This window comes from Homo sapiens, chromosome 15, assembly GCF_000001405.40.
Source record: "Homo sapiens chromosome 15, GRCh38.p14 Primary Assembly".
Taxonomy (NCBI): Eukaryota; Metazoa; Chordata; class Mammalia; order Primates; family Hominidae; genus Homo; species Homo sapiens.
This window is the reverse complement of record NC_000015.10, coordinates 51,289,348-51,310,938: the sequence shown is the minus strand read 5'-3', so window position 1 is coordinate 51,310,938 and position 21,591 is coordinate 51,289,348. Positions and strand designations below refer to the sequence as shown.

The 21,591-nt window shown below is 47.0% G+C and overlaps 1 protein-coding gene and 2 long non-coding RNA genes across 6 annotated transcripts in view; 1 reads left to right on the top strand and 2 right to left on the bottom strand.

The window, feature by feature from the left end:
• Positions 1–21,591, top strand: part of CYP19A1 (cytochrome P450 family 19 subfamily A member 1) — a 130,540-nt gene that overhangs the window by 27,658 nt on the left and 81,291 nt on the right. The window lies entirely within an intron of this gene.
• LOC124903493 (uncharacterized) lies at positions 1,592–15,843 on the bottom strand. Its single transcript, XR_007064634.1, has 2 exons — positions 2,685–15,843; positions 1,592–1,977 (listed from the first exon to the last, which is right to left on the bottom strand). It is a non-coding gene; the product is annotated as an uncharacterized LOC124903493 (long non-coding RNA).
• MIR4713HG (MIR4713 host gene) overlaps positions 17,027–21,591 on the bottom strand; it is a 256,425-nt gene continuing 251,860 nt past the window's right edge. The window contains exon 3 of the long non-coding RNA NR_146310.1: positions 17,027–17,325. This is a non-coding gene — a long non-coding RNA (MIR4713 host gene). The remainder of the gene's footprint in view (positions 17,326–21,591) is intronic.

Sequence of the window (21,591 nt, the reverse complement as noted above, 5' to 3'; positions counted from 1 at the left end):
AACGTCAGCTCAGTTTTCAAAGCCTTTGTTAATGCTGTTTGTGTTCCACACATGCACATCTTGGAGGTGAGGTCAGGACTTGTGCTGGCTCCTACATGGAATCCCTTTCTCCCCCTCTTTCCTCTGCAAGAGTTCCGTCTTGCCGGAAAAGGACCAGCTCCTTTTCCTGGTCCTCTGGCTAGAAGGATGGATTTCTCTCAGAGCTGGAGCCGCTGATGATGTCACAAAGTTTCATGCCACTTGGCCAGACCTTAGAGCAAAGTGCAAGGGGAAAAAAGTGAGGACTCCCCTGATACTTTTGACATAACAGGGACCCCTTTTCTGAATTTCTGTACCCAAAGGGACAGGTTTTCTCTTGAGATTTTAGTGCTCAAGCTGCTGCCAAGGTGATGGCGATACAGTTTGGGGGCTGCATCTGACTGTGTGTCCAAGCTGAGAGAGAAAAAAAGACAAAGATTTTCCCCACACTTTTTGTCTTGCAGAGGCCCCTTTTCCAGATTATCTATCCAGAAAGATGGGCCATTTCTTGGGGTTGTTGCTGTCTATGACTGCTGGGAGGTCTCATGATTCAGCTCACCCTTGGGCCAAAGCCAGGAGAAAACAAATTCCAGGAAATTCACCATCACCATATTGGTCATTCAGCAAATTTTGACTTCTTTTCGCAATCTAGCTGCTTTTAGAGGACTTTTCAGAGACCTCAGTTAATTGTTTTTTTTGTATTTTGTTAAGAGTGTTTGGTTGTAATCAGTGAGGGAGATAGTGTGCAATGCATGCCTTCCATTTGGTTGGAACTAGAAGTTGAGCAACACAGTTGGAATTCATCTTTTTTGGTTAGTGCTTCCCCAGGACTTTCACGGACAGAATCCCAAAATAGAACCTGTATTTGGGAATCCTATATTCCCTGGCCTGGTGGTGGCAGGTCCCAGGAGTCTATGGCTCCAAGTTTTCTACCTTATTTGGGTAGACACTTAAAACAATGCTCATTCAACAAAGACGTAGTGGGTGCCCACCATATGCTATATCCTGGAGACACAAAAATGACTAAGACATAGTGCCCACCCTCAAGTAGCTCATGGGCGAGTGGAATAAAGGGATTTTCAGTAAAAATTTAAGATCCAAGCTTGAAAGCTTCTTTCCCAAGACATCTTGTGGATCTGAGAACCACAACACCTTGTCAGAGAGCAATTTCTAGCCTGATTCTGGAGCTTTGCCCTTCTAGAAACTTCTATCATTGTTTCTCTCCTCTGAGCGGAACCAACAGTAAAGCACTATATATTAAAAAACAGTATATAAAATTCTCCTTTTGTTTTGTGAACTCTACAAATGCCTAGATTACCTGTTTTTAACAGTCTTCTTGCCTACTAAACATAGACTTAGAGAACACAGTCTGTTTTGGGGCTCCAGAACTCAAAAGGGAAGTGAAGACAATGGAGAGTGTTCAGATAGCACTTTTAGTAGATAGAATCTGATATTTAAAAATAAAGAGTGGGGGAGTTGGGGGCCATCTGCCAAGGAGATAATCCTTCATAAAGCAGATTAACCATATCTTTGTCTTAGTTCAAATCACTATAACAAATTACCATAGACCGGGTAGCTTAACCAACAAACATTTATTTCTCATTGTTCTGGAGGCTAGAAATCTGAGATCAGGGTGCTAGCAGAGACAGGTTCTGGCAAGGGTCTTTGCCAACTTTTGCTGTATTCTCACATAGCAGAAAGAGAGCTAAAAAGCCGTCTGGTACCTCTTCTTACAGAGGCACCAATCCAATTCATGTGGGCTCCACCCTCATGACCTAATCACCTCAAAAGGTCCCACCACATAATACCATCACACTGGGGATTCAATTTCAACATGTGAATTTTGGGGGAACACAAACACTCAGTCCATAACACTCCCCCAGCCCACCTCTGCTGCCTTTTCTCTTTGAAAGCACTTACCTTCTCTTTCTGCATTGATGTAATGCCAGAGGATTGGATCTGGGAAAGGAAGTAAATGTGGGAGGGAAGAATCAGGGTTCAGCCATTTAGCGAGCACAAGTAGGTGCCGTGTGTCAGCAAGGGTACCCTGTGCATGAGTTATTTTACCACCCTTACAGCAATCCAGCAGGCCTGTGTGATAAGTGTTGTGTTTCCTGTGTGGTAGACGAGGAGACCGAGACTCAGAAGTGACGTGATTTTTCTCAAGGTATTAGCTGGCAAATTGTAGACTAGAATCCAGGTCTCCTGAGTGTGGGTTCTGTTTATCTAGTTTACCTACTGCGCCGGCCTCTAAGACTTTGGGGTCTGAATATGTACCTCTTCATACCACTAGAGCCCCAGCAGTCTTCTAAGTGACATGTGAGCCATACTGGGGAGGAGTTTGGGGAAAGGAGACCTTACCACTGACAGCAGAGTCTGGGGGCTCACAAGAGAGGAAGATGCCCACTGGGAAGCCAGATCTCAGGTTCTTCAGACCTATACCTCCCTGGGATATAATTCAATCAAGTGCTTATTCCCCTCTTTAAAAAAAACTAAAATGATGCAGAAACTAACTATGAAACAAAGGAAGAAAAAACAAGAGAAGGCAGGGATTATTTCCCAGGACATTTTCCTCTGACCAGGAGGGTAAGTTGGGGACAGAGGACCGACTTGGTGGGGATCAGAGGCAGCCCAAGGGAGAAGAGTCATTCCTTCTACTCTCCCACCTGTCCTCATTGCTGGCTCTGACCCAGATGAGAGCTGGGGGCGTTGACATGGGAAGCTTCTCTCCTTCCTGAGTGGTCAGTGAGGGGCAGCTTCTCCTCCTACTCCAGGAGGGTTGCGGGAACCTGCATGTTGCATCCCAGAGCAGCCAGAGCTTCTTCTTGCCAGTCTCCTACCTTCCCTTTCTGGCTCCTTTACTCCCACCTCCTCATGCCCTCTTTCTCATTTAATAGCAGGGAGAAAGGAAATGAAACTTGATGGAGCCTGACTGTGCCAGGCACTGTGCCAAGAACTTTGTGTTCATTTGTTTCTAGAAGAGGGCTTGGTATACTGTAGATGCTCAATAAACGTTAACTCTTAGCTTTAGTGTCTCCGGTCCTTCACTTCAGTGATCTCTAGGCACAGTTGATGGCTCAGTTTCACAACTGCTGCAGAGAGGATGAAAGAACAATGTCAAGTGGTTGGGTGGGGGAAAATGAAACTGGCATTAGGGCTAATCACATACATTTCTCAGGGTGCTCCTCTTTTGAGGCCCTATTTCCATGAGAAGGAAATTGAGGCAAACCCAGAAGTTGACAGCTTAGCTGGGAACCAAAGATGATGATATACGGGAGCCCATGGAATCTCATAGCTCGAGCAGCACTTTTGGCACCAACCTGCACCCAAAGAGCATCTTTAAAAGTTGTCACATACTTGCTCCGGGCAGCTCTTTCACACCACTACCATGCTCTGTGCCAGACATGACTAATTTTTTAAATCTCTGACACTCTTAATTAGTCATGAGCTAATTCTGTAAGAATGTTAGAGTAAGCACACTAAAATTATATTCTTCTGCAAAGAGAAAGAAGATTACCTGAGACCACTTGTCCCCCCTCAAAGAAGCAAGGTCTCAGCCAAAATCTTTGAAGCCTTGTGACATCAATAGATTTTCTAGGGTGGCATCATGTCCTTTTGATTTTTCTGTATATAGTAGTTCAAATGCCACCTTCTCCTCTCCTTTCCATTGCCACTGCCCTGGCTAGGTCCTCATCAGTGCCATCAACTCTCACCAGGCTCCCTGCCACCAATCCAAACAAAACCAAACACTACTAATCATGGATCTTCATGGCACGTTTGCTTTCGTTGGCTCCAAAAGCCTCCAGTGGCTTTCCATTGCAGATTGGAAAGGTCTAGACTCAGCGATCAAAACTTCCACCACTGATTGCTTTTCCAAACATCTCCCCTACTTCCTGTTGTGAATACCACCTGGTTTACTTATTATCTCTGGCTTGCCATTATCTGGTTTACTTATTATCATCAATATGTCTAGACCCTTCTGATCTTCCCAACTTTACCCGTGCCTTTTCAGTTCTCTTCTTCTCATTCCTCACCACTGATGGACAGTCATCCTTCCTTCCAAGAAGGGCTTAAGTCTGGTTGCCTGGACTCTAGATAATTTCCCTCCTCCTTAGCAATTCCACCTTTGATTGTCTGGACTCCTTGTGCCATGTACAATTATCCTGTATTGTTAATTGTCTTTCTATGTCTGTAACTTGCTTCTGTGTTATAGACATCATCATGGCACAGTGCCGTGCTTTTTCACAGAATAGGTACTTAATATTCTATTATTTAATTTACTAGAACTTTGCAATTTCATAAAGATAACTTTGTCATTAAAAATGTTTCCAGTGGGGATTTAGGGCCCTTGAGATGGTGCAAGAAAAGGAGATAAAGGGTTTTTTTTAAGCTATTTGTTCTTTCTGTGCAAATTACATAACTTCCAATTATTTCCAACGTTAAAGAAATAGTCCCTCTGAATCCTTTATGATTTAAACATTAAAATGATTCACTAGTTTTTAGAAAAAAAACAAAAAACAAAAAAACAAAAACTGCTGTCACCCTTCCAAAAATGTAAAAAAGAAGAAAGAAAACCCAAATATTGGCTCTTTTGGAGGAAAAATAAACTGGCTGTGCTTTTATTTCTCCAATATTCTGAAAGAACTGGGAATGCACCACAAAATGGCAGTGCTTGTGTGTACCCGAGTGTGTACACCTCACCTCTGTCTTGAGTCCACTCTCCCTACCAAGCTTTTCTTGGGTAGAAGTCATGGAGCCATATCCAGCACCAGTCACCTGAGCACTCCTCTCATAAAGGAGACTTTGGGTTTAATCCCTGCCAGGGGGATTCAAGTGCTGCTCTCCTAAGGAGGAGAGCAGGTTTTCTTTGCTTGACTATATTTCAACACCTCTGACAGAATGACTCCAGCCAGCCAGGGTGCTTTTTTGCTTCCCAGCTTCTCATAGCGCCCCAGATGTAGCATCCTTTCGGTCCTCAACATTTACTTCCCTCTTTACTCACTGTATTAGTTTTCTGTTGCTATGTAATTACCAAAGCTTATTAATTTAAAGCAATACAAGGTGGCGCGCAGTGGCTCATGCTTGTAACCCCAACACTTTGGGAGACCAAGGAGGGCGGATCACCTGAGGTCAGGAGTTCGAGACCAGCCTGGCCAACATAGTGAAACCCCGTTTCTACTAAAAATACAAAAATTAGCCCAGTGTGGTGATGCATGCCTGTAGTTCCAGCTACTCAGGAGGCTGAGGCAGGAGAATTGCTTGAACCCAGGAGGCAGAGGTTGCAGTAAGCCAAGATTGCACCATTGCACTCCATCCTGGGCGACAGAGTGAGACTCTGTCTCAAAACAAACAAACGAAAACACACACACAAATTTATTATCTCATGGTACCAGCTGGCTCCTCTGCTCAGGGTCTCACTAGGCCCAAAGCCCTTTTCATCCTGTGTCCCTGTCTATCACTGCCATCATCCCACATCCCTGTCTCTGTGGCATCTTGTGCTTCACAGCTCAAGGTCATATTATCTGCATTTAGTTTTGAGACAATCATAACGTTATGACCACTTTCTCCATTCTTCTCTGCTAGCTGAGTTTCTCCAAGGCCTAAGACATAGGCCACACCCTCACAATTCTATACTCAGGCACTTTCTAAAATCACACATTCCTTAATGCAGTGAAGAATTGATGCTCATGAGTGACATCCTACATTGAAAGGAAGAGACGTGGCCGGGCGCGATGGATCACGCCTGTGATCCCAGCACTTTGGGAGGCCAAGGTGGGCGGATAACTTGAGGTCAGGAGTTTGAGACTAGCCTGGCCAATATGGTGAAACCCTGTCTCTACTAAAAATACAAAAATTAGCTGGGCGTGGTGGCAGGCGCCTGTAATGCCAGCTGCTCGGGAGGCTGAGGCAGGAGAATCGCTTGAACCTGGAAGGCGGAGGTTCCAGTAAGCCAAGATCGTGCCACTGCACTCCAGCCTGGGTGACAAGAGTGAAACCCTGTCTCAAAAAAAAAAAAAAAAAAAAAAAAAAGGAAGAGACACAATTACCTGAGGGATGAATGGCAAATGTTCTATTTAGAAACGCATTTTTAAAGCTCACCTTGTAGGGTTTCTTGTCATGCATCATTTAAAAAAATAAATTAAAAACCTTGAATATTAGGCTGAGGATTTTCTCTTGAAAGAGACAAAGAGACATGGTCAAGTCACTGGGAATTTCATGACTTAGGAGGATTCTCTCAGAAGACTTTCTAAGAATAACTTCAATAATCTCCAATAATCTGCAACCTACTTTTCTTTCATTGAAACAAACAAAGTTAGCTATGGAATTAATATTTGGAAAATGAAGAAAGCTTAAAGGAAATAAACATTTCCCATAATCTTACCATCCACTGAAAACCATGGTTAACTTGACATGGGAGTGGGCTTGGGTTGGAAAAAAATAGGGAGAGAGTTTTATCTCTGGAAAGCATTGCTGGCTCCCTTCCACACTTTACAGCATGTATTAGCTTAGTGACACTGTAGGGAGAAGCACAAGCCATGTAAAGAGGACTTAATTTGTCAAGATTTACTGACTAGCTAAGGGCTAAAAAGAGATGAGTGGGGTGGAAGCAATGGTTTCCACAACACCCCCAAGATAAGGGGTATCACTTGTGCAAATTTAGCACCAGGGAGTGGGGCCAGCCCAGAACTTCAACTCAACATTTGTCAAGCCCTCAGTATACCTTCCAACCCAGAAAAACAATAAAAATGTTAATTTTTGAAATCACTAGCAAAATACTAAATACAAGGTCAATATTTTAAACCAAAGTGCCCTGAGAGCACCGTTGTTTCTAATGACTTCCTCCTCCCTGATCGTCTATTTTTCTCCCTGGTCTTATCTTTCTGAACTTTTTTGCTGCAATTGTTGAGCGTCAAAGGCTGAAACCACTATTATCACCACTATTACTGCCCTCCTCTCTGCATTTGAACACCCTGCTGCATCCTGCATCTTGCCTCTTCCTTTATACTTGCTGCTTTGGATGAGGTCCCATGTATCATCCTCAGCCCGGGATTTTCAGGCTCCTAGAAGACATTTCCTCTTACTGAGGCATGGACACGTGCAATTGCAGCCAAAGGTGAATTGGTTGTCAGGTGTTCCTTCAACTTGGCTCCTCTCTGCCCTCTCACTGCCTCCTGCCATCTAATCAGCTCTACTTATCTGCCCCTTAGAGGGACCATCTCTTCAGTTATTAGCCATTCTTGTGTACACACAACCTGCTGGTTTTCACTTCCTTGTATTTGCTCAGACAGTTTTTTCCACTAAGAAGGCAGATGCCTCAAAACCCAGATGGACACTGACTTTCAGAAGCTCTGCCTAAAAAAAAAAAACCCACCTACATCTCCTACTTGGCATCTCTAAGCACTTGTGTGTTTAGCCTGGGCTGTGTGTATTTTCACATGTTTATGTTGTTTTCATTCTTGACTTTATAGTGATGACAATACTAATTACTACTTATTTAAGGACTAGCATGTTCCAGGACATGTATCTTTTTTTTTTTAAAGGGCATAGGCAGAAGGAGAGGAAAAGCAGTTCAGAGTACTAAGGGGCTATGATTGGAAGGGTGTCAAGAACTAGCTCTCTCACCCTCAAAAGGCCTCCCTGGCCCAGCCTGTCCTGCCTAAATTCTCTAATCAGAGTGCAGGTCACTGGGGAGTGAAGATTCTCAACCTCACTCACCTCTTTCACCCCTCCACATCTGCCCACCCCATCTCCACTATTTAGTGCAAAGGCTCCTGGGAACAGCGACATTCTAAACTGTTAACAGCTGAAGCCTTCCAAAGGATTCTGTCCCCCAGTGACAGTTGGCTGAAGACTGTGAAAGAGAAAGAGCGGTCCTTCAGGGTTGGGAGACCAAGAGGGAAGGGAAATTACTAGCCTCAGGAAGAAGCAGACTCCCAGCCTGAGCTCCTCACAGCCTACTCCTCCCCAAGCCATGCCTGCAAGCCTCCTTGAGGGTTTATGGGGCATAGCCCTACAAGGGACCCAGAGATGAATCAGACATGGATCCTGCCTTTGAGGAGCTTACTGTCTACTGGCAAAAAGTGCCGAGTACAGTTTCAACCCAGGGCAATTTCAAGGGTTGTGGGACTTCAGAAGAGAGAAAGACGTGGGCTGGACATCAAAGAAGGCCTGCCAGAGGAGGTCGCGTTTGAGCTGGACCTCGAAAGATGGCAGGGGACTTTCCACAGGCAGAGATTGGAGGTGGTGCTAGTTATGAAGCCAGACACCTTCAGTTTGAGGCTGTGATCTGTGAGGACAGTGGGGAGAGGGGAAAGCCAGAGAAGGGTAAAAGGCTGAGGAAACCCTGGCCACCTTCTCTAGTAAGAGGACACCAAGGATCACGCTTTGCCTGCTTTAACATCTTGCCTACCATTGCCCTGATGAAAATAGGCCACTGTTTTGAATTAGCTAAAAGTTGAGAACTCAGACTTGGATTTGACAAGGGCCCTCTGAGGGCAGTTAAACCAACTCTCAGCCCCATGATTCTATGAGTCTGTGATTCGCAGGTGGAGCCAATGACACACCTTTGGGACTAGGCAAGGCCTCTTGGTCAGCGAATTCCCTCAGGGGAATAATGCTCCTTCACAGGAGAATGGCAGATGGAAAAACCCCAAAAAGTGAATATGCCCAGGACTGCTCAATTGAATTTACAATAGTTCCAGATTATTGACTAGCTCATGCCTGTCAGCAGAGCCAGAATGGACACATACTTTGAAGAGTATGATGGCAGGTAGAGGTGAAAAAAAAGACTGAATGTGACTTTAGATGGCAAGAACATGACAGTGAGGTACTTGATGAGAACCCCCCAAAAATGATCAAGAAGGGGTAACTGGGTGATAAAGGGGGAGATTAAGAAGCCTACACTTTATTATACCCAGTTCTTTTTTTCCCCACTGTTGCTATTTTAGAATTGCAGCTCTACATTTTGTGGAGGTTACAGAAGGAATCTTGTGAATATTTTTTCTCTGACAGGGAAATAATTATGAAAATCTTAACTTTTATAATATTTGTGCAAATTTCAAGAATAAGTTTTGTTTTATCTTTGGTGGCACCACATGCTTTGGACTTTTGTTTTTAAATCCCAGCATAACCAGTATTTTCCGAGGATTCTAATCATTCCCAGTGGGCTGAATTTAGCCAGCAGTAACCCTAGCCTTGCAAAGACAAAGCAACCAGTGATATTTGATAAAATAGAAGCTGACAGACAAATCAGGTCTAGTCAATCAAAGGATGACGAGCAGAAGACCCAGGCCAGAGAGAGCACTAGCACGTCTTGGATGGCCAGAAAAAGTAGGGAAGGAAGGCACGCGGGGGGTCAGCCCAAATAGGGGTCAGTATGCAGGGCTCTGGCCTCCAATCCTAAGACCCCTTGGGAGGGGAAAAGCATTCATTTTCTACTTCACTTTTTATGTACTTGCCTTGGCAGAAGGAGCCTTGGTCTTGGAGGTGTAGCCCCGGCATCCCAAATGAGATGAAGCCTGCCTCTGGTCAAGTTAGGACCAGAAAGGCTAAATTGATCTAACTTGGAAAGGAAGCTTTGTGCTATCTCAGTTTTATGCTCAATGTCTGCCTTTGAGGGGCAAGAACAGCCATACAGGAGAACAAAGAATCTCAGGGTATCAGAGAGAGGAGGCAACATAGCCAAGTCCAGTATGAGAAACCTGCCTTCTGGGGATTTCTTCATATAGCTGTTCTTTCAGCTGGTCTTTCCAGCTTCTGTCTGCCCCCAGTAGGTTGCCTCAAAAGCCCAGTTTTCCTTTGATCATTCCAAGCCCCAGCGAAATACCTCTTTAATGCTTAATGTGGCAGTCACCTTTGGATCTGACTTCCCTTCTGACAGTTCACCACCCTGTGAACTGGTTCCATTGTCTTCCCTGGAAAGGTAGTTCCCTTTCTTAGCCTCCTATTCACTTCTGTTGGCCTCTTTTTCCTTCCTGCTGTTTCTCCTAAAACATTTTGCTGGCCTTCAATAATATTGGTGTCCAAATTCAGTTTGGGGCCTACCACCGTTTTATGTCTCTGTGGGTTACAATTTTCTTTGAGGAATGTCCTCATTACCATATATTTTTAAACTAAATAGTTTGCATGAACAGGGATCCTCAAGCATTTGATACAATAAGAAAGGCATAGAATGGCGGTGTAATTTGGGGGCAAGCGTGTTTGCTGTAGGAGGGAAAGGCAGCGGAGAGGCTGGTTCCCAGTATAGGGTTGGAGGAGGAGCTGCTGCTGGTACTGCTCACATGCTGCATTCAGGCTGCTGGCACAGGGGGTTCTGGAGCTCCAGGCCTGGCAGGCGTGGTGGGAGGAGCAGCACCTTTGTGGTCTTCTTTTTGAAACTCTCTGCCTTGACAACTGATTGGGGAACAAGGAGTCAGTTTCACTCAATTCTCCTATAGGTGACTCAAACCTCTATCACACCCAATCATCTGCCCCAGAGATGATCTCTCCTATGAAAGCAGTTGAAATGCACCAAAGTGATTTCTTGAGAGTCTTATTCCTCACTGAGAAGCTAATAGGCTGCGTGCGGCCCTCTCGTGAGTTGTAGCTTAGGTCATGAGCATAAAACCCAGTAAATTGTGTAGAAAAATGTTGAAAGACTCCACAGAGCCTAGACAAGAAGTAGAGATCATGGATCTGCCTTCTCTTTTTAAAGGCTCCTTAGGAGTCACTTCCTCCTCAAAACCCTTTTAATGGATTTCTATGAAGAAAATCATCTAAATAAGAGTTTTACTCAAACTGGGGTCAGTACTTCCTGGTGGCTCAGGACTCTGAGGGGAGCTGATAGACACGCTGTGGAAGCACACTGACAATGGTTTGGTCCTGCCTACCGGTTGCCGTTTCACTCTTCCTGTTGCTCAGATTGGCTGTGCATTCTCTTGCTTTCAAACAAATGTAACTGCATGAATGAAAGCACTCCCATCCCCATTTCTGCCCAGTGAAATCCTACCTCTCCTCTTGGCTCAGCTCAAATGTCGCCTCCTCTGTAGAACCTTCAATGAGTGTCCAGTGGGAGGTCAGTGTGCCCTCTTCTGGACTCAACAACCATTTGGTTGGGTGCTCCCCTACACTCTAAAATGAGGGTGTTTAGCAAAGGTCTTATCTCCCCTGCTGGGCTGTGAACAAGTGAGTAGAAGGTTGCTGAGCATCGAAGCTAGGATAAGCCAGAAAGGTGGCACTTGTTTTTTCAGCTGCCATTAAATTCCTGTAAAGGAACTTCTCACTGAGGGTGCTCATTCTGTGTGTGGGGAACTGCATGAAAACACTCCTCATGGCCTTTTGTTTGCAAAGGCACAGTTAGGTCTGCAAACACAGAATTTGAGCAGCTGTGGCAAAGCAGCCCTGATCACATGGCCCATCTTTTCCATTCTCCAGCTGTCCTGACCAAAGGCCACGCTGGAAACAGCTCTAAGAGCCACTAAGAGCTGTGGAGGCAGGAGTAGAGGAGGAAAGACAAATGTCAAAATTATTGGATGATCCTGGGTAGCAACTGGCCAAGGGGGATTAGAATGGGTGACAGAGCCTTTCACCTTTGGGGTCAGCAGCATGTCTGACTTCAGGACCAGAAGGCCAAAACATCTGTCAGCTGAGCAGCAGCTCCTGTGAATGAATCGCCTTTGTCTTGTTGGAGGCGGGGATGAGTGTGAATTTATTTGCTCAACAGAAAGCCATGTAAACCTGAGATCAGATGGAAGCTCTGGTGGTGGCAAGAAGCCCAGTAGCCCTTCAGACAGAAGATGCCCATCAACAATGGAAAGGAGTACACAGGACCTCGGAAGGAAGGGTCCTCTCTCTTGGCGGAAGGCCCCTCACCTCTTTGTGAAGCCCTCTGGGGCAGAAAAAGGCCTTGCCGGTTCCAGCAAAACTTCATGGAGCATGGGGGTGGCAGATGGGGTGCCTGGTCCCAGCCACTCCTCTCCCAACTTCCCACTAGCCATGTGGGCAAGCTCACATTAGCAATGAGCTCAGGCCTGCTTTGCTCATTTAAGGAAAAGCAGTGATCCCATTATCCCAGGGGTGATTCTTTGCCCCAGACGCAGCTCCTTTTTTCTAACTTCCTTCAGCCCTGCTGGCTTCTCCTCAGCAGTAGCTAATGTGGGATGATGATCAGCAGCAGTTGAGCTATTTTTAAGTCAACAAACTACCAATGCTAAGAGTTCCTCAGAAAGCCAGGAAATTCGGAGCCTCAGAAGCAAATGCTAAACATGATTGATGGGCATGGAAGGGAATGTTTTGGACTGCTGTTCACAAAAGGAATCCCTTGAATTTAATCCTAAAAATGGCCAAGCTAGAAGAGTCCTTAGAAACCATCTAGTCTGCTTTTTCCCTCCCTAGAAAATTTCTACAGATGAGAAAGTAAAGTGGATGATGGTTTAGGGCTGAGGCACTTAGCTGATCTAGAGGTGGAAGCCAACTCTTCCTGATTCCTATGTGAATGCTCTTTCCACAAAGATCAGTAGAATGTTTCTGGATTTCTTTGTTTCAATGAGCTTCGATTATCACACTTTATTTTTCTTAGCATGGGCTCCATAAAACTAAATTATTGTACAAAATCTAAATAAGTTAATTAAACAAGCACCAGACACAGAGTAACTTAAATGACATCAGGGTGCTAAATCTCAGTTTATAGTCAGTGGACAGATAACTCTGAAATATCAGCTGGTGGCATATCCAAATCAGTAAGGAAGGACCATTTGGTTTTTATGCCACCTGAACAGTGGCGGCATTCCAGCTGGTGAGTCTTCCTGGCCTCTTGATGCAGTACTCCCCTTCAGCTGATGCTTTGCTCTCTGGGGTTAATTCAATATCCAGGGGCAGGGAGCCAGACTTGGAAGGTCCTCTCCCCACATCTAACTCCTGCTTCAACACCCAGCTCCAACGTCTTCTCTGTGAAGCCTTCCTACATCTTCCCCCATTCCTCAGAGTAGCCTAAATCCTCTCCTAATGCCCCTCTTTATAATACCCCTACAGTCACACTGTAAGGTTACTGTGTTAGGCCCCCATCAGGCCTAGGGTGTGTGTGTGTGTGTGTGTGTGTGTGTGTGTGTGTGTGTGTGTGTGTGTGTCATGCCTACAGTGAATCTCTCCAGAAACACCAATGAACAGGTTTGACTACAAGGAGACTACAATGAGAATTTTATTGCCAATATAGGAGATTTGGGACCCACACCAGGTAGAGTTTACTAGAAACAAGATACCCCTACTGCAGTAGGCATTGAGCAGGGAGGGAGACAGGGGAGGGAGCAGAGCAGAGCACTGGGGGTGTCTGCAGGAAAGCCTTATTGAAATCATGGAAGCTGAGGTAGCTTATGGGAGCCTGGGTCTTAGAACTGACCCCTGGGTCATTGAAAGAGAAGCCCCTCTTGGAGGGGAATGAGAGGCTGCAGCAAGCAGCTCTGAGTCACACAATCAGGAAGGCATTGAACGCTTGAGGCAAACAGCCATTATGACAAAGGAGAAAATGCACTTTACTCCATGGGACTCTGTCTCCCCCGGTGGACCTAGCATGCTGGGCAAAAGCAGCTATCGTTTGGCTTGAGGCTCATCTGTTAAAGAGGAGGCTGGTGTAAACCTAAGCATGGGGGCATGTGGAGATGAGGGAGAGGGCTGGCCGGGCTGTTTGGAGTCTGGGCCTGTCTCAGCTCTGCCACTAGTTGGTTGCATGGCTTTGAGTAAATCTGCTCCATCAGAATAATGTGGGCAAGATAAATTCTCAAGTTCTTCCAGGTCTAAAGGTCTGGGATCCTAGGGCTGCGCGAACCTGTTCCCACCTCAAACCTGTTCATTGGTGTCTCTGGAGAGAGATGGACACAAAAGTCGTCACTTGGCCCTTTTGGAAACAGTTGAGTCAAAAAGTCTTGGCCTCCTGCTCATTTTTAACCAGGGCCTCACAGAAAACAGTTCGCAATCCAACTGGTACACTGGCATGAGGTTGTAAATCCTATCTGGGAAAGCAAACCAGAAACTTCTACCCTTTGGTGTTCAAAAATACTTCATTTTTCTTAAAATTGTCTTTTTAAAACTGTAAAGGTCTGTAAACATTAGTTTTAGAACAATTGCTCCCCAATAATTTATTTTACAAACAGGAATATGAAAAATAAATGGTGGTAGGAGGAAGGACCCACTAAGAACACCATTTTTAAATTTTGCTAAGTAAGGACATTGAGGGAAAAAACTCAAACTCTGATCTACCATCATTGTTTAATGTTCGGCAAACATGAAGCATTTTAATACCAAAAAAAGTGAGGAGAATAAATCTCAGCATAAAGGAACAACTTTTTAAACTGAATTTAGCACTATGAAAAATGTACCTCATTTTCTGTAATTTTAGCGAGTTTCCCGCGGATGTACACTGGCCCCATGGATTGGCGCTGGGGATCACCAGTTTAGAGGTGCCAGTGCCTTCTGACAAAGGCCCATGGATCCATATGACTGCCTGTCTGTTCTTTTTAGAGACGGGCCCACACTGCAGAGAAGTGATTGTGAAGGTCTCCAACCCTGTCATGCCCCCACCTGCCACCTTGACTTGGGAGAGGGACACTCACAAAAGCATGTCAAATCGACATCCATTTCTTTCTCTTTCCCTCAGGTCTCAGGGAGTTTTCCTCTTCTCCTCGGACTCTTTCTCTCAAGGCCTCTTCTACAAAAACCCCTGCCCAGAGGGTTACTGCTAAAATGAAACTCCCGTGTCTGTCCCCTTCCCTGGCCCCCAACTGACTTGCCTGCCTCTGCTTGCTGCTGTCCCTGCCTATTCCCCTTCATGCTGGCTCTAGAAAGATGCAATCTTTTTCCCAGGCCCCAGCCTCTCTGGCCTCCCTGCCATCCAGCTTCTAGCCTCCCTTCTCTGGAATCTATGGAAGAATCATCAAGCAGCTTCTGGAAATCCAGGAGTCTGTCCTTGGTCATGGTCATCTTCAACCTGTCTGTGTTCTTGAGAACGTTCATGTGCTCCCAGAAACATTCTTTTTGTCTGCCTTTCCTGGTCTGGCCACATTTGACTGTGTCACTTCTCTCTTTTCTCACTCTTCTCTGCCCTCCACAGACCTCCGTGCTGCCAGGACTTCCTAACGGAAGGGCTTGGCTGGCTCCCCGAAGCCATCCAGAACTGGACCCGAGGGACCCAGCTCAACTTGAATGTCCTTTTATCTGCCCAGGAGATGGGAAGATGCTGAGACCATGCTTCAGTGCTGTCCCACATCTGTCTTTCTGAGTTTAGACTTGGTTTTTCCATTATATTCCATTCAACTGATTTTTCCATGATATTCCACAATGTCTTACCTAACTCTAGCTTTCTATACTCAACAGCAATGCCTCCTGAGAGCCTCCTGGGTGTCAAGTACTCTGTTGTGTGCTTTTGAGGACTAGGGTGTTAGCAAGGCACAGTCTCTGACTTTGCAGGGCTCACAGATTCATGGGGAAAATTGATGTTCCAGTTACAGTGAGGCAAGGCAATCTGGCAGTAACTCCATAGAGAGGAATGACAGGCTGGGCCTAGGAATGGAGGGGAGCGGGTAATAGAGGATCCTAAGGAAACTGAGAGAAGAGGGGCTGGAGTGCGGCTGGTCTGCGCTCCTGTGCATTGCCTTGGCTAACATTTTACTTGTCCTTCTGAATCACCCTGGCATTGTCAACAAAGAATAATGTATGATCCTTCTTGGAGTAAAAAGCCTTCAGCAGTGCTTCACAAAAAATTCTATTGTATATTTTGTGTCCTACCTCAAATTAATTAAAAAAAAAAAAAAAAAAACACGTTGTTAATTCGCTCCAAGCCCACTCAGCTGCTGAAGAATTTTGAGTATTCAGCTAGAGATCTTTGTAATGAACAAGTAGCTCAATTATTCTGGTTTCATTATACAATGTATCAGGCATTCTTTTTTTTTTTTTCCCCAAGGCAGAAGAATTTTTCTTAGTACAGAACAAAATGAAAAGTCTCCCATGTCTACCTCTTTCTACACAGACACAGCAACCATCCTATTTCTCAATCTTTTCCCCACCTTTCCCCCTTTTCTATTCCACAAAACCGCCATTGTCATCATGGCCCGTTCTCAATGAGCTGTTGGGTACACCTCCCAGACGGGGTGGTGGCCGGGCAGAGGGGCTCCTCACTTCCCAGTAGGGGCAGCCGGGCAGAGGCGCCCCTCACCTCCCTCCCGGGGGGCGGCTGGCCAGACGGGGCGGCTGGCCGGGCGGGGGGCTGACCCCCCACCTCCCTCCCGGACGGGGCGGCTGGCCGGGCGGGGGGCTGACCCCCCCACCTCCCTCCCGGACAGGGCAGCTGGCCGGGCGGGGGGCTGATCCCCCCACCTCCCTCCCGGACGGGGCGGCTGCCGGGCGGAGACGCTCCTCACTTCCCAGATGGGGCGGCTGCCGGGCGGAGGGGCTCCTCACTTCTCAGACGGGGCAGCTGCCGGGCGGAGGGGCTCCTCACTTCTCAGACGGGGCGGTTGCCAGGCGGAGGGTCTCCTCACTTCTCAGACGGGGCGGCCGGGCAGAGACACTCCTCACCTCCCAGATGGGGTCGCGGCCGGGCAGAGGCGCTCCTCACATCCCAGACGGGGCGGCGGGGCAGAGGCGCTCCCCACATCTCAGACGATGGGCGGCCGGGCAGAGACGCTCCTCACTTCCTAGATGGGATGGTGGCCGGGAAGAGGCGCTCGTCACTTCCTAGATGGGATGGCAGCCGGGCAGAGACGCTCCTCACTTTCCAGACTGGGCAGCCAGGCAGAGGGGCTCCTCACATCCCAGACGATGGGCAGCCGGGCAGAGACGCTCCTCACTTCCTAGACAGGATGGCGGCCGGGCAGAGACGCTCCTCACTTTCCAGACGGGGCAGCCAGGCAGAGGGGCTCCTCACATCCCAGACGATGGGCGGCCAGGCAGAGACGCTCCTCACTTCCCAGACGGGGTGGCGGCCGGGCAGAGGCTGCAGTCTTGGCACATTGGGAGGCCAAGGCAGGCGGCTGGGAGGTGGAGGTTGTAGCCAGCCGAGATTACGCCACTGCACCCCAGCCTGGGCACCATTGAGCAGTGAGTGAACGAGACTCCGTCTGCAATCCCGGCACCTTGTGAGGCCAAGGCTGGCGGATCACTCGCGATTAGGAGCTGGAGACCAGCCCGGCCAACACAGGGGAACCCCGTCTCCACCAAAAAAGTACGAAAAACAGTCAGGCGTGGCGGCGCGCGCCTGCAATCGCAGGCACTGGGCAGGCTGAGGCAGGAGAATCAGGCAGGGAGGTTGCAGTGAGCCGAGATGGCAGCAGTACAGTCCAGCTTTGGATCGGCATCAGAGGGAGACCATGGAAAGAGAGGGAGAGGGAGACCGTGGGGAGAGGGAGAGGGAGAGCGAGAGCGTATCAGGCATTCTTTGGCATCAAGGAATTAAAGCACATTTTCTCTGGCAAATGGCAACAGTGTCTGATTTGAAGACATACCCTACACAAGTGGTTCTTGACTAAATGTAGTTCCATTTAAAAATAAGAGTTAACCTCTTGTAGTCTGGTCTCAACTGGCTCATTCCAGGGAGTTCTTAGCTCACACTTGCTAATATTTTGTTTACAATTGTGCAAATTCTACAGTTGGCAATATTGTTTACCAGGCATTGAACTCTTTTACTTATTAATATTTTAATAGGTTTTTGGGGAACAGGTGGTGTTTGGTTACATGAACAAGTTCTTTAGTGGTGATTTCTGATATTTTGGCGCACCTATCACCCAAGCAGTGTGCACCGTACCCAATGTGTTTTATTTTGTCCCTCACCCCCTCCCACCCTTTCCCCCAAATCCCCAAAGTCCATTATAAGGCACTGAACTCTTAAGCCTTGTTCCTTGTTCCCACAGCTCGGCCAATTGTGTTGGTCCTTCCCCCTGCTTTATTTAGTCACTTCCTCTGGAGGCTGGCCTTTTCTACCCAAGACACCATGGGCAGTGGAGCACTCAATCCATATTCTCCCAGACATGCCCCTCAATGCCAAGCAGAGAATCAGAGCACCTGGTGTTTGGGGACCAGACCTGTGTCCACTAAAGGACCCCAGTCAAAGGAAATGGCATCTCTTGGAAAAAAAAAAAAAAGCTACTTTCTGCCCATGAAGAAGGACCCCGACCTTCCCCCAGTGTAAATGTATAGGCAGGACCCCCACTACCCTGTGCTCCTTTGTGCAGTTGAGGAAAAGGTGGCCCATCTGGATGGATACAAAGCTTGGCAGGAAAGCAGGGGCAGGATTTCAGCTCCCTTGGCCCCCGTGCAAGTGAAGGAAGCTTTCCCCTGAGGTTTATTTGACATTGTTCTCCCCAGACAGCTGCCTTCCCAATTCAAAGGCTCAAGACTGTTGAAAAGCATATGCCAAGGGACAGACTAAACCTGTGACAGAGATGATTGCCAGTTTGCGAAAATGCTGAAAGCTTTCCATAAATTTGGGATCCACAAGGCACCTTGTCGTCACATGCTGGGTCAATCCCATTGCAGTGGGGAGTGGAGGACTGGACTGGATGATGTCCAGGAGCCTAGCACTGTGTTGAAATAAATTATTCTGCAGGCTGGTGGTGGTTATAAACTCACTACCAGCAAGGAGTTGGGGCTGAAAGGAGAAACATTATAAAACGGTTGCCACTAAAGTGTAGTCTGTTCAGGGCCAATAATTAACCCTAGTTGGAGATGATTTCTCTCTTTGACTATCACCAGGGTTGAGAGCCGAGTGACTCTGCCTGTCCAATTTGATTGCTAGGGTGGTCCAAAGGAGAGTTCCTTCACCTTCATCCACCTTTATTGGGTCTCTCCTCTTTCTTTTACTGCCAAATTTCTTGAAAGAAGAGTCCAGACTTGCTGTCTCAATAGCTTCTCTGCCTTGCATCTGACTGACTGAGTGACTGACTGACGAGAGGTCACAGTGTGTTGGACTGCTAAAGTAGCCAGCCTTTTCTTGTTTTCCCACCCTATTTGTCAGTGTAAAGTGTTCTAAGCTGATGGCTTCTCTTTCCTTTTTTTCTACTTTCTTCCTTGGACTCCAGTGAAATGACCCTCTCCAAGTTACCTCTACCCTCGTGGCTGCTTTTCTGCTTCTTCATTAGTGCCTAAGCTGAGTGTATTGCTCATGGTTCTAGCCTGAGCTTTTTTCCCTGATTATCTTCTGTGTTGGAGATTTGACCTACTCGTGGGGTTTCCATGATAACCACTCTGCAACAGACTCCCAGAGTCATCTCAGCCAGTCTCATCTATGTCCAGTCCTCAATGCCCACATTTCAACATGTTCAAGGCTGTCATCTTCCCTCTCTACGTTGGTCTTGCTGCGGCTTCTTTAGAGAAATTATCAAGACTTTGGAGTCATACACCTAGGTTGGAATCCTAGTTGTACACTTTTCTGTGTGGCCTTTGAAATGAAGTCCTTTTTTCTCATGTTCTGTGAATGCTACCAATGCTCATTATACAATAAGCACTTGTCAAATGCTGGTCTCCTTCCCCATTTTTTATTAGCATGAACATTTCCCCTCTCTAGTGGGCTTGGAATCATCTAGTTTTTCATTGTAATAATGTACGTTCTCCTCCTCTACACCTCCGCAAGCCCATTTCTCTGGAAACACCTCTCACGTTGGTCCTGTCCTTTCAATATTAAGGGATGTCATCTGGGCCCATGCAACCAGTGTCTCTGCCTACCCGATCCTCTCTGCCCGCCACTACTGCCTGAAGCATGTTTCAGATCATATTCCCACCCAAAAACTGCCAGTGCCCCCACTCTCAGTTCCATACCTTTACTTTCAAGGTTTTTAATGATCTGCCTCAAACCTAGTTTTCTGCCAAACTTAGGATGGCTCAATCACATGGCATGCTGGGACCTCAGTGACAGAATCCAATGGGATGGGGTAACCAGGGTAGCCCGTGTCTATCCCAAAGCCTCCAATCTGGAGGTTGGGGCAATGCTTTAGGGCCATAATGATGCTCAACGTGAAATGGGGCTTCACCTGTACTTGGGCATTGGGCTCTGGTCCTCAGGGCAAAGATCCTAGGCAAGAGGATCAATGACTGGGCCCCAGCCAAGCTGCTTAAAAGCCAGGGCAGCACTAGAGGACCAGTTGGAAGTCCAGAGTCTTGGGAAAAGGAGGCAAAATCTCAACCCCTATGTATAGAGCAACATGACGCTCGGAGGGAAGGAAGAAGGCAATGCAGTGGTCCTGGGCTTCTACGTTAATTCTGAGAGTGGCCCCGCAACTCTTCATCTTTCTCTTCCCTGGCTTTAGGCATGTATCTTGCAACTAGCACTTGCTTAATTGATTTGACACACCTCCCTACACTTACCCCTTTCCATACAAAGTGCCAGGTCCTCTGAAAGCTCCCTATATCACCTGGCCAATTGGAATTTTCACAGCCAAGGCAGAAAACAGGTGAGGTTTGGTTGTCAATCTCCATCTTAGGCATTGAACAGGATGTGTAGCCAGTTCATGGAAGACCTTTTTCACTCTTCTGAAGACTTAGGAATAAAAAAGGGCTCTTACTGTTATCATGTGGTCAGAAGGCATTCTTTTTCCACTTTAAAGAACCAAAACTTCCTCCAGTTCAGAAACAGTAAATGAATGGTCCACCATGTGCTGCGAACTTTGCTGTTCACCACCATGGCTGCTCCTAGCAGCATCTATGCAAGCACCCCATGGATGCTATCCAGGGTTTCTTCTTTTTATTATTAATAGCTAACATTTACTGAGTGCTTACTATATGCCAGGCACTGTGCAAAGGGAAACACAATGCCTCAGTCCCAGGTAGTTCCTGGGAAACTGAACAGAATCTTAAATAGAAACTCTAAGGAGTTAGGGAAGTGAGGGCTCACTGGGGCTGTGACCCCAGGGGAGACCACACTCAAAAGATGGTTTTGCAACTCAACCTCAGTTTCAGGCCTGCTATATCACTTCCACTCACTCAGTAGTAGGCTTGGCATTTAGTGGGGGACAGAGGCATGGTGGGAAGTTGGGGGTGCTGTTCAGGCTTGGCCCTCACCAGCCTCTGCTGGGACTGGTAGCATGAATGCTGTGTAGGATGTTGGGGAGCTGGAAGAAGACTCTTCCGCAGCCCCTCCCTCTCTATCCCATTCCCCTCTCATCTCCCCACCCTTCAAGGTTAAATATTAAAAATTCCCTTCACGGGGTGAGCTTTCAGTCCTTGATTCACTCCAAACAGGCTTCAAACGCAAATAGCTGTAGAGAAGATTAACAAGGTTGCCTCAAATTATTTGGCAAGGGGTGGGGAGAGGATGCCCAGGAACCCTGGCTGGCTGGAGAGTGGGGAGAAAAGGGGGCACAGTGGGAAGCTGCAGGCAAACACCTGCCATTGTAGCATTGCAGAAGGCCCCAAAGGACCCAGCCAATGTGAGACAGGTTGGTTTAAAAGCCTCCCATGGGAAGAAACCCAGAATGATGACAAGCAGAGCCAAGTTCACGTCCCTGTGGGTGAGAGTGTGGGTCTGGGAATGTGAAGCCTGGAGCAGGAGTCAGGGGCAGGGGCTCTAGGAGAGCTGCTCCATGCCCAGAATTGTGCAGGGAATGGCATAAGCAGTGG